General features: G+C 39.0%; 1 protein-coding gene and 1 long non-coding RNA gene across 4 annotated transcripts in view; one reads left to right on the forward strand and one right to left on the reverse strand.

Annotated features, from left to right (window-relative positions):
* Nucleotides 1–10,965, forward strand: part of LOC124901389 (uncharacterized) — a 96,627-nt gene extending 85,662 nt beyond the window's left edge. The window contains exon 2 of the long non-coding RNA XR_007059729.1: nucleotides 10,829–10,965. This is a non-coding gene — a long non-coding RNA (uncharacterized LOC124901389). The remainder of the gene's footprint in view (nucleotides 1–10,828) is intronic.
* FAM184A (family with sequence similarity 184 member A) overlaps nucleotides 1–13,025 on the reverse strand; it is a 189,366-nt gene that overhangs the window by 60,814 nt on the left and 115,527 nt on the right. For all 3 annotated transcript variants that reach the window (NM_001288576.2, NM_001100411.3, NM_024581.6), the window contains exons 2-3: nucleotides 3,383–4,237; nucleotides 2,369–2,504 (exon numbers count right to left, since the gene is read on the reverse strand). In NM_001288576.2, the coding sequence (NP_001275505.1) occupies nucleotides 2,369–2,504; nucleotides 3,383–4,036 (790 nt within the window). In that variant the 5' untranslated portion in view covers nucleotides 4,037–4,237. The remainder of the gene's footprint in view (nucleotides 1–2,368; nucleotides 2,505–3,382; nucleotides 4,238–13,025) is intronic.

A 13,025-nucleotide genomic window follows, 5' to 3' on the forward strand; every position in this document is an offset into this window, starting at 1 on the left:
GTTCTTTTCTAATTTATTTTCAAATTCTAACATAAAAAGGAAGAAGTTTGTATGTAGGAAACAAAGATGGCAGATAGCAGTTTGGTTGAAATTGAATTTGTTTCAGGCAAGAGGCCAGATAAAGACCTAAAGTGGAGCTTGTAGTTCCAGCTACTTGGGAGGTTGAGATGGGAGGATTGTTTGAGCCCAGGAGTTCAAGGTTGCAGTGAGCTATGACTGCACCTGTAACAGCCACTGCACTATGTCCTGCAACATAGCGAGACCTCATCTCCAAATAAAAACAACCAACCAACCAACAACTAAGGTGATGTAAGACACAGATAAAGACAGCAAGGTTATGAAAGAATCTCTTAAATGACAGCAAAAAGCAGGGAAGGTGGAGAAAAATGAGGAGAGACAGAGAGATGAAAAGTGAGTGAAGAAAAAGGTCTCATAGAAAGGATAGTTTAAGGCAGAGGTTCTCAAAGTACCCAGGACCAGCATCACCAGCATCACCTGGGAACTCTGGTTAGAAATGTGACCCACCCCAGACCTAAAAGTGAATCAGAAACTCTGAGGGTGGGGCCCAGCATCTGTAGTTTCACAAACCCTTCAGGTCACTCCAATGTGCACTAAAGGCTATTAAAAACAACTATTTTAGAGGAAGGAAAATCTGAGATTCACTGATAAGCCAATCAAAATCAAATGAGATCCTCAAAGAACCAGCTCAAACAGCCTTCCTGGGCACACTAAACACTTAGACAAAATATAACTTCAGAACTGACACAAGTCACCCACTTCCTCCAGTAATGGTTGTGAAAAAGCATACCAGCCACTTGAGAAATAGGCAAGTCAGCTTTAGTATGTAAAAATGAACCTTAGTAACAAGCCCTAAGAAATGAACTGCTGTAATTTACAAACTTCAACTAATTTGAGCACTTTAAAATGTGTATTTTTTCAGTGAGACCTCATCTTTAAAAAAGTTAGCCCGTGGCATACCTAGAGTCCCAGCTACTGGGAAGGCTAAGGCAAGAGGATTACTTAAGCCCAGGAGTTTTAGGCTGCAGTGAGCTATGATCAGGCCACTGCACTCAAGCCTGAGCAACAGAACAAGATCCCATCTCTAAAAACTAAATAAATGCTGGCATGGTGGCTCACACCTGAAATCCCAGCACTTTGGGAGGCCAAGGTGGGAGAACTGCTAGAGCCCAGGAGTTTGAGGTCACCCTAGGCAACATGGCAAGACCCCGTCTTTACAAAAAATTAAAAAATTAGCCAGCCAAGGTGGTGCATGCCTGTGGTCCCAGCTACTCAGGAAGCTGAAGTGGGAGGATCACTTGAGCCCAGGAAGTCCAGGCTACAGTGAGTTGTGTTCATGCCACTGCACTCCAGTCTAGGTGACAGAACAAGACCTTGTCTCAAAAAATAAAATAAAATAAAATGTATATTTTTAAAGGACAACACCTCTTGAAAAGTGTGCTTCATTTTTCGTTCTTTCTTTTTTTTTTTTTTTTTTTTTTTTTGATACAGCCTTGCTCTGTTGCTCAGGCTGAAGTGCACTGGCGCAATCTCGGCTCACTGCAACCTCTGCCACCAGGTTCAAGTAATTCTCATGCCTCAGCCTCCTTAGTAGCTGGAATTACAAGTGTGTACCACCATGCCCAGCTAATTTTTGTTATTTTTAGTAGAGATGTGGTTTCACCTCGTTGGTCAGGCTGGTCTCAAACCTCTGGCCACAAGTGATCTGCCCACTTTGGCCTCCCAAAGTGCTGAGATTATAGGTGTAAGCCACCATGCCCAGCCCGTTTTTCTTTTAGTGACTACTTTATTGGTATTTTACCTGCTATTGGTATTTTTCCTCACAAAGGAAAACTCTCAAGTTTTCTATAAAAATATATTCCTAAAAATAAAAAATATTTGTGTATCTTATAAGTAATTAGTAACATATTGAGTCCTTTAACTTATTTACAGTCTAAATAGTTTTAAAATGTTAGAAGAAAAAATAAATGCTACCTTAAATTAACATTTAAGTGTTGGGGCCGAGCGTGGTGGCTCATGCCTGTAATCCCAGCACTTTGGGAGGCTGAGGCAGGGAGACTGCCTGAGCTCAGGAGTTCGAGACCAGCCTGGGCAACACGGTGAAACTCCATCTCTACTAAAAATACAAAAAAATTAGCCAAGCATGGTGGCGGGCACCTGTAGTCCCAGCTACTCAGGAAGCTGAGGCAGGAGAATTGCTTGAACCCAGGAGGCAGAGGTTGCAATGAGCCGAGATTGAGCCACTGCACTCCCGTCTGGGCGACAGAGCAAGACTCTGTCTCCAAAAAAATAAATAAATAAAGTGTTGATTTTAGCTAAGCATTACATCAAAAACTGTGGTCACACATACTAGCTTTGAGGACAAGATCTGAAGCTTGCTGTTGTAAACGTTCTCTGGCAGCTGCTAGCTCACTTTCCACTTCTTTGTGCTTGCTTAATAGGGCCATTTCTCCCTCCTTGGCATCATCAAGCTGTTTTTGAAGAACCTAAGAAAGATTAAATAGCCATTGTTAAAATGCAGGAATAATACTAAGCTAAATAATTCATTTAAATTATAAGGGTCAGCTTTCTCTTATTCAGAAGTCATACTAAACTATATACCAATTTTTAAATCTGTAAGTATTAGTGATTTATAACTTGATGTTTTCATAAACATGACCCAATCAGGAAAGGCTATTCCACACTTTCTAATCCATTCTAATGTTGCACAGATATTAAAAACATGGCTATGAAATTTTCTAAGCCAACAAAACAAAACTTGTGGACTTCCGGCATTTTTTTCCCCCAGACTTGTGCAATACCCCTATTAAATTCAGGTTTAGAAAGCAAGCAATTTCTTGATCAAATTCTAAATATCAGCTAGCAGGCAAACCATTATTAGTGAAAGGAAAAGAAAAAAATGTATTTAAACTTTAAGCCCAATATTAAAATCCTTTTGTAAATAATTAGCAATATTGTCCGCCCCCCCCCCCAGGAACAGCGTATTACCTCGCTAAGCTCACTCACCCAGGCTGGTTTCTAACACCTGGCCTGAAGCGATCCTCCTGCCTGGGCCCCCCAAAGTGCTGGGATTACAGGTGTGTACCACTGTGCCTAGCCAATAATTAGACAAGGTTTTAAGCTTGTCTTTTTGGGCCCCTAATATCTGAAAGTCTGAAATAACAACTACAGGGTAATACAAATTATCCTGTCATTGATTTTTCTCACAAAGGAAAAGCAGGAAAAGTTAAAAAAAAAAAAAAAAAAAAGTCTAAGTGGTGTGAAGCCACTGATTCTAAGTGGGCCAGACTGCTCTCCAGCCTACAAAACAAATATTTTTAAAAGAAAAAAAATCCATGTGTTGAATATAATATTCTTTACTTACCTGAACATTGTTCTCTGCTATGGCAAGTGCCGTCTGAAGCTTTTGGCATTTGTCAAGAAGACTTCCAGCTTCATCCTGTACCATCTGTAACTCTGTCTTTAATTTTCCTATAGTTTTTCGTAAAATTGCTTCTTGTCCCTGAAATTCTTTTCTAAGATCAGCTTCCTTTTCTTTGCTGGCCTGTAGGCTTTCTGCTGTAAAAAGCTGTGACCTTTTCAAAGTATCAAGCTCACGTTCATAAAAGGACTGAGCTTTATTCAACTTGCCTTCATAATCCTCAATTAGTTTCTTCCGTTCAAGTCTTAGCTCCTCAAGCATTTTGTTTAGGGACTCCACCTCCATTCTGTGTAGTTCCTCTGCCTTTTCCTGGCCTTTATTTACTGAGGCACTGTGATCCTGCTGTGACTTCAATAGCTCTTGTATCTCCCGTCTGTGAGCAGCTTGCAAGTCTTCCAATGCCAATCGTTTGTCTTTTTCAAACTGTACTTGAAGTTGTCCAAAGCTCCGTAATTTTTCTTCAAATTTCCTTCTAATCTCTTCGACTTCTCTAGACATGGTCACTATGCGTTGGACATGCTGGGCTTCTGCACAAAGTTGCATGTCCTCAACTCTGTGCTTATAAGCTTCAAATTCTGTCAAAGCCTGCTGCTTCATTTTTATGTGATCTTCTAATGATGATTCTAAAACTTGAATCTTTCTTCTAAGGTCTAGCTCCTCTGTTACTTTGCTTTTATACTGCAATATTTTTTCTCTTGTTTCAGCAAGAATTTGTTGAATTTCTTCTTCATGAGCATCTTTGAGGGCTTGAATTGCAGATTCATGCTCATCATTTTTAGTGTTTAAAGCATATATTACCTGCATGGTTTTGAATAAGAAGGGAGAAGGATTGTGAATCCATATTATTTTCTAACTTGAAGTCAATTCTTTCATTTGGATTGATATTTTTCTATGCACATAATATTGGCTACAGCTAATGTTAAATATGGAATCTTGATGCAATTGTTTTTTTACTCATAGATTGATTTGCTTAGCAAATTTCTATCTTAGCACAGTCTTAAGATTTGTATTTAAAGACTTTTTAGTTATAATTTTAAAACATTCAAATTTAAGACTATTTTTTACTACAAATGAAACAGCAAAGAGGAAATGGACAAAGGAGGCAATTGGCCTAAGAGAAAGGAGTTCTCATATGTCCCAATCTAGCTTACCGGGGACTGTGAAGGGGTGTTCAGGAGAAAAAGTCTCATAGTAAGACTCTGCCCTATATTGGTGTCCTAGAGATACGAGAGGCTTCACATGAAGAGAAGCCCTAGGCCCTAAGTCTTCCCAAAAGCCTTTTATCTTTGTAATGGCCTGTTTAAATATTTCAAATTTTAAACTTTCCTTTCCCAATTCCCCTATAGTTTGCTTCTAAAGCTGATCCTCTTCTCTCTTCAAGTTTCTAGTGATCTCTTTATAAAATCCAATTTGTACTTTTTCTCTTCATATTTCAAATGCTGTAGTTTTACTCTTTGGCTAATTTTCTCTCTGCCTCCAAGCAACCCAATTCCTTAAGCCAGAGTTTTGAGTACAGGTCTTTATTTTCATTTTAGTTCCTAGGTTTTAATGATTTCACTGAGATGTCCCAACCTTAATTTCAAATGACAACAAATTCCCTGCACAGTAACACTCTCCTTCCTTCCCTCTGTTCCTCGGATGCCATCCATCATGCCACTGTGGTCACACGGTGAAATTTTCATGACTGTTATTTAAGGCTTTGAGATGAGCCCACTTTCTTCCCCCGGAAGCGAAAAGAAGTAAACACTGTACAATCAAAAAATCCAGCAGCTAAAAATCAGTGTCTGGAGATTTGCTCATTTTAATGTGATATTACTCTGGCTTTAGAAATGAATTCCAGCATCAGATACCAGAAACTGCAGTTATGATGGAAAACTGCTGCCATTTTTTGTAGAGAAATTATTCATGCAGCCTGAGGTAACTGTGGCAGACTGGCTGGCTCTCCAAATACCACAGTAACTCCAGATCCCACTCGCTAAAGATAGGCTGTCACTGTCTGGGACAGCAGTTGTGCTTGCAAAAGAAACAAGAAGGCTGCCTCAACACAGGGGCATCACTTTCTCCACATAGGGCTTTGTCTTCCAGATCCAGTGGCCCTGTCCATATACTCGCTTAGTCTGCCATCATACCAAAGGTAAAAAGATTGAGAGATGGCAGGAACCCATCTGTCTTGCCATGCTATCCCTTTTTGCAAAGTCTACAGGAAAAAATGTGAACAGAAGTACTTATTCACATTCTGTTTTTAAAAAACCCTAATTTCAAATTCCAAATTATGTTCCCAATAAGGTAACACAGATCCCAAGCAGGACTCCTTCATTTACACATTTACTCATAAAGGTAGCTTATAAGCCAAGAAAGCTGACTGACTTCCTATTCCCATCCCCTTGGGTCATATCCGCCCACCAAGTCAAATGGCCATAAAAGACTGAAAGGATCTGTGATATAACAAGTGTACCAAAAATATAATTCTAAGCCCCCAACCGATTGAACGGACCCTCCTCTTAGCCAAGTGGACCCCAAAGAAACCTGAAAAAATAGTTTAGGCCATGACTGAAAGGGAGGGGTCAGACATGCCTCATTATGGATTGGACATGCTGGGCTTTTCTGCACTCTATACTTCGGGATTTAGACACAACTGACCGACGTTAACATTAAAACAGAGATCATAAGACTGACAAAACAGACTCTTCATAGCAATAAAATACCAAATTCCAAACAACATCATGTGATACTATACCAAGAGTCAGGTTGGAGTTTGGTATTTTATTGCAAGCCCTGAAGAAAATCAAAGTATTTTACCCTAAAATTTTTTTGTTTGACATTCCATATTCTGAAATGCCCCTGTAAAGCTGCCTCCTGTAAAGTAAATTTGCATTCTGTAGAGAATCTCCTTCCCATACTCGGTCTTCTCCAGAGAGCATGACACCTTTTAAGGTCTGATAAGAGATATTTACCATCTATTCTCTCTGAAGCCTGCTACCTGGAGGCCTCATCTACATGACAAGAACCTTGGCGTCCACAACCCCCTTATCTAACTAAACTCAAGCATTTCTTTATGCTGAATTCAACTCTTTAGTCAGGGCTTACCTCTTTCAACCAATTGCCAATCAGGAAATCTCTGAATCCACCTATGACCTAAAACCTCCCTCACGCCCACCTAGAGATGTCCCACTTTCCAGGCTGAACATTACACATACTGATTTATGTCTTTGCCTGTAACTTCTGTCTCCCTACAATGTATAAACCAAGTTGTAACCAAACCACCTTGCGCATATGTTCTCAAGATTCCCTGAGGCTGTGTCACAGACCATGGTCTTTAAGTTTGGCAAAATAAACCTCTAAATTGACTGAGACCTGTCTCACATACTTTTTGGTTTACATAAGAAATATATATTTGGTCTCTTCCCCCAGTTCCTGACATAGAGCTCCTAAGACTTTTGTAATTTCCTGTGCGATAGGATCATTGGACACAGTGAAATATAGCAGGGACCCCACCTCTCCTTTTAGGGACCTGCAAACCCCCAAACATGGAAATAAAGGAAAACCCCAAAGTTCCTTTAAGAAACATTCCAGGCATCTAGCTAGCCCCGGAGGTAATTCAGTAACTTGTTAAACGAAAAGGTAGCAGAACAATAGCCAAGGAAGTTAAAGCTCCAGAGATGTTTGCTTTTCCTACAGAAACTAAAGATAACATCCTAACATACATCCTTGAGTTGTCTTTTAGAGGCTTGAAACCCCACTGAATGGATCTGCTGGCATACAGACTCCAGATAAGGGGGAAATGAAGACTAAATTTTAGCTATTACCCTTTGTTTTATTAGTAAGTTTCTTCCTGAGGAACTTAGAGAAAGTCATTCCCTCTAGCAAGTCAGCATTTTTCTACTGAACTTAAATGTTTTAAACAAAGCTTCCCTTCCTTAATCAACTGCAAATCCGAAGAGTTCTGAATCTACCTACCATCTGTGAGTGCCCCCCACTTCAAATGTCCTGCCCTTTTAAGCTTAAGCCAATGTGTAACCTCCTTGTATTGATTTATGATTTTGCCTGTAGCTTCTGCTTTCTTGAAATTTACCCCTGCCTTTAAAAATCCTTGCCTGCAAGCCTAAAAATCCTTGCCTGCAAGCCATCAGGGAGGCCAGATTTGAGCATTTAGCTGGCTGGTCCCCCCCTGCTTAGCACTCTGCAATAGGCAACTTTCTGTCACTGCAAAAACCTTGATGTGTGTTTTCACTGTGCCAGTTGAGCAGACTCCAGTTCTGTTCTTTAACAGCAGAGCTCCTAAATCCCTTGGAATCTCTTGCGGGATAGGAGCATCTTTTGTTCTAATGACATGACTCCTAGTGGGCTCTTGGGAAGGCCTCAGGATTGGGGCTGGCTGCCAGAGGAACCCATCATGTGACTATACAGTTGGAACTTCCAGCCCCATACAGGGTCCTCTAGGGAGGAGACAAGGTCGGAGAGTTGAGTTGATCACCAACAACCAATGATTTAATCAACCATGCCTACACAGCGGAGCCTTCATAAAAACACAAAAGTCAAGTTTCCAGATTTCTGAACACGTGGAGGTGCTGGGAGGGTGGCATGCCTGGAAAATGCAAAGAAACTCCACATTCCTTCCCACAGACCCTGCCCTATGCATCTCTTCCCTCTAACTAACTTCTTCTGTACCCTATAAATGGGGGTAAACATGTTTTTCTGAGTTCTGAGAGCCATTCTAGCAAATTAATCCAACCCAAGGGAGGGTAGTGTGAACCCTCTACTTACTTTTTTGCCAGAAGAACTTGCAGTTGGCATCTGAATGAGGGCAGTCTTGTGGGATTGAGCCTTTAACCTGTGGAATCTGATGCTATCTTCAGGCAGATAGTGTCAGAAATGAACTGAATTATAGTATACTCATTTGGTGTCCACTAGAGAACTGGTTGTTGGGAGAGAAAATCCACACACATTTTGGTGACCAGAGGTGAGGTGTTATGTGTTCTATCCAGTGTAAGGGTAGGAAAACCTGTTTTTTCCTATCTCATATAGGGACACTAAGGAAAAACAAGCCAACCAGCCAGAGAGAAGCCCATTTGCTAGAGTGCCTAGAGCAACACTGGTATAGGCCACAGGCTTCAGGCCTTTCCAAGGCTGGTCAGTCCTAGCCACAAGGAAGGAAAAGAGAATTCAACGAGGTAAAATCCAAAGAGAGAACTAAGTCACATCATTAGCATTCTGTGCATTCTGTTCCAGGAAATGATCTGGGAAAGAACCAGTCCCTGGTGGAATTCATATTTTGGGGATGAAATGAGGGAAGGAGGAAATATGTGAGTTTCCCCTTGTCGACAATTTATTGAAATAATCTTCTCTTTTTTCTAATATTAAATTTCCCTCGAAGCTTTGATGAATCAGTTCCAGTCCTGCCTCCTTTAATGAGTCTTCCATGACCACCCAAATCCATAAGAGTCTATCTTTTCTTTATATCTAGAACCTCCATTGCCTTACCTCACTCACTCCTGATTGTCAGTAAATATATAATTAAATTTGGAGGAGTCTTGATAAGGTTGGAAAGATGTATGAGGATATTAGAGACCCTAAAAAGAAGCTGAAGATATAAAAGCACGGTAGCAATCAAAAAGGTGAAATTTAAAAAGAAAAATGTACAAATTAAAGCATTAAGTTAGAATAGGATTTAAGTAAACAAAACATGGCAAATAATTTAAAAAATATTATAGTGAGGAGCTTTTATTTCACTTGACATTCTAATGCAGGAGTTAGCAAACTACAACCTGTAGGCCAAATATGGCTGCTGCTTGTCTTTGTATTAATAAATAAAATATTATTGGAGCACAGTTATGTCCACTTGTTTATGTATTGCCTATAGCTGCTTTCCCACTATGACAGCAAAGTTGAGTAGTTGTGGAAAACACCTTATTACAAACTCCTGTTCTAATCTATACATAGAAAAGCCATCTTATCAGCCAAAATTGGCAGCCACAAATAAAAAATAATAAAAGATCTAAATTTGCAATAGCTTGGTTTACTCCCTATTAAATAGTACAGGGTTCTTTCCACTACCACTCATACACTGAGAAAACCAATTAAGAGATTCTGGAAGCATATTTTATAAAAGAATATATATTCATGCTGACCATATATTGGTATTTCCCAAGGAAAGCCATGTTAAATAAGTTTCTAAAAACTTAAAAAGAAATAACAAAATGAAGCCAAACATAATAACAAATTAATACTGCTTTCATTAGTGATCACTTGAAATACACCACTACTAACTTATTTTTAAGTAAGAATGCTACATATGAATTTTCAAGTTGAGCTTAACTGGATATAGTATCCTCTAATTGTTCATTTTTCTATGTAATTATAAAGGTAACTATTTATTAGTGTCCTTCTCTGAACACTATTTTTCAGATCAAGGTAATATAAAAATTCCCTATGTTCTTTGAACATACAGAAGATATAACAAAGGTTTGACACTAGATAAAATCACTTAATTTCTTCAAGCTTTGAGTTTCTCAAATATTAAATAAAGATCATATTATCTACCTTAGCAGCACCATTGATATAAGATCAACTGATCACTGAAATTTCAAAAATTGATGTTATGTAACTATTTAAAAATATATATGTAAGGCACTAAAACATGGTAAGACTTCCTTATTAGTTGTATTATTTATTTATGGAGAGGGTGAGACTAATTTTAAAAGGAACTTTAGTAAATGATCATAATCACCCATAAAATTGGCTATTTTTTTACAAATAGAAAAAAAAACTCTCTTAAAGTCTCTTTTCATAAAGTACTTTAAAAGACATTAAGAAACATTTGCACTTTTTATGGAACTATGAACATTCATGGGATGGAATAGTATAGGAATCATTTCAGCAATTTCATAGTTCATTTTATGAACTATGTAACATTTCATAGTTCCGTTTTATGCCAATGATGCATAATTTAACTACGTATTTAATGATGAATAAGCAATAGTAATTTTTACTTTTCCTATAAATCTTTTACTTTTAACTATGTATTTCATGATGAATAAGCAATAGTAATTTTTACTTTTCCTATGATAAATCTTTTTTTTCCTATGATAAATCAGATAATCTTTCCCCCAGGTAAAATGTGAACAATTCTAGATCCTAGGTTTAACATGATACTTAGGTAAAATAAGAAGTTTCTGAAATAGTCCTCATTTATGCCTGCTCTGGACCAAATTGCCTACCTCAAAAATTCTTATGTTGAAGCCCTAACGCCCAATATGATGGTATTTGGAGACGGGACCTTTGGGAGGTAATTAGGTTTAGATGAGACCAACAAAGTGGAGCCCTCATTCTGGGACTGGTGCTATTACATGAAGAGACACCAGAGAGACTGCCTCTGCTCTCTCTCTGTAGTGTGACGACACATCAAGAAGGTGACCACCTGCAAGCCAGGAACAGAGCGCTCACTGTGGAACTGAATTGGCTGCTACCTTGATCTTGGACTTCCCAGCTCCCAGACTGTAAGAAATAAATTTTTATTGTTTGAGCCACTCAGTCCAGGTTATTACATTATGGCAGCTCAAGCTGAATAATATCTTGGCAATATGTAAATACGTTCCCATTAAAATCTAACTCATTAGTCATAAGATAAATTCACTGAAAGAGTAATAAAGCACATTTGTAATAACATACATTCACTAAAGTGATATATATTAGCTTAGTAATGTAAAACATTTTAACTGGACCTTAATTGTTGCATATTACACCAACAGGCTTAACATTGCTAAGGTAAGGGAATCACTGAATAAATGATGGTATATTCATACAGTGTAATACCATGAAACCATCAAAAGCACATTTCATTTGGAAGAGTATTTCACAATATAAGAAAAAATGATATAAGGCAAGTATACAACGTTACATACAATAAGATCCCATTTTACAGGAGGAAAAAGTGAGTACAGATATATAGATATAGATATGTAAAGAAATAAACCAGGCCTGGCACGATGGCTCACTCCTGTAATACCAGCACTTCGGGAGGCCTAGGTGGGCGGATTACCTGAGATCAGGAGTTCAAGACCAGCCTGGCCAACATGGCGAAACCCTATCTTTACTAAAAATACAAAAATTAGCTGGGCATGGTGGTACGTGCCTATAATCCCAGACACTTGGGAGGCTGAGGCAGAAGAATTGCTTGAACCTGAGAGGCGGAGGTTGCAGTGAGCCAAGATCATGCTACTGCACTCCAACCTGGGCAACAAAGTAACTCTGTCTCAAAACAAAAAAAAAAAGAAAAGAAATAAACCAAATTTTTACCGATGAGATTTCAGTATTTCTACACATTCTATAATGAATGTATGTTCCTATTATAATCAGAAAATATTAGACCTTTTTAATAAGTTAACAGTGACTGCCAGTCTCAGTCTCATTTTTTTACTATTAAATTCTGGATACTGCTTCTCTATCCCTTCCAGACCAGGGAGGGGGTGGGGGAGGGGGAGAGGGAGAGGGAAGAGGGAGAGGAAGAGGAAGAGGGAGAGGGAGAGGGAGAGGGAAGAGAAGGAGAAGGAGAAGGAAGAGGAGGAAGAGGAGGAGAAGAGCAGGAGAAGAGGGGGGAGAGGGAGGGGGAGGAGGAGGAGGAAGGGAGGAAAAGAGGAAGGGAGGGAGCAGGGAGGTGGAAAGGGAAGGGAAGAAAAAGGGTGGGAAAAGACTCTCCCTCAGAATACATAACCACTACATGAGGCAAAAGGTAGCTTACCAAGTTAATAAAAGAGTAATCTCGGATTCAGTAATTGTTTAAAAATAGATCTGGTACATTTTAAACAAAGAGAATGTTTGTATTATTAAATCTTCAATTCTTCTAGTTGAGCTAATCACCAAAAGGTTACTTGAGCCATAAGACATCAGAGTTAAAGAATATTGAAAACTCTCAAACTTCTCAAAAACAGTGGGTTACTTCCTTCTGCCAGAGGCTATTCTATCGGTTCCAGAGCAGGAACATACACTAAACCTCTGTACCTCAATTTATATTCAATGGTACTCCCAGACCAGCCTTATAAATATAATTTTTTTGCAAATTATCCAATTTATTAAAAAAATTATTAAATATTCCTGATGAGCCCTAAGTAGCTTACTAAGGGAATCTTATGTTTCTATAAAATGGGTCACTGTTTGGAGCCGGGGTATTAGCACCACATCTCAATATGTCATCCTTACTGTATAAGGGCATGTTAATAAAATGTTTTTAAAACTGGCTTGCTTCGGAGGTGATGAAATTGCACAAATCCTTCCATATTTTCTTACCTATTTTACTGGTGATCAATAACAGCACACATTTATGCTACCTAAATTATCTGGATGACAGGATCAATCACTGCAACATAAGAAAAGGCCAGGTGCGGTGGCTCACGCCTGTAATTCCAGCACTTTGGGAGGCCAAGGTGGTCAAATCATGAGGTCAGGAGTTCAAGACCAGCCTGGTCAACATGGTGAAACCCCGTCTCTACTAAAAATACAAAAAATTATCTGGGCGTAGTGGCAGGTGCCTGTATTCCCAGCTACTCAGGAGGCTGAGGCCGGAGAATCGCTTGTACCCAGGAGGTGGAGG

The sequence above is a fragment of the Homo sapiens genome, chromosome 6 (assembly GCF_000001405.40).
Source record: "Homo sapiens chromosome 6, GRCh38.p14 Primary Assembly".
NCBI lineage: Eukaryota > Metazoa > Chordata > Mammalia > Primates > Hominidae > Homo > Homo sapiens.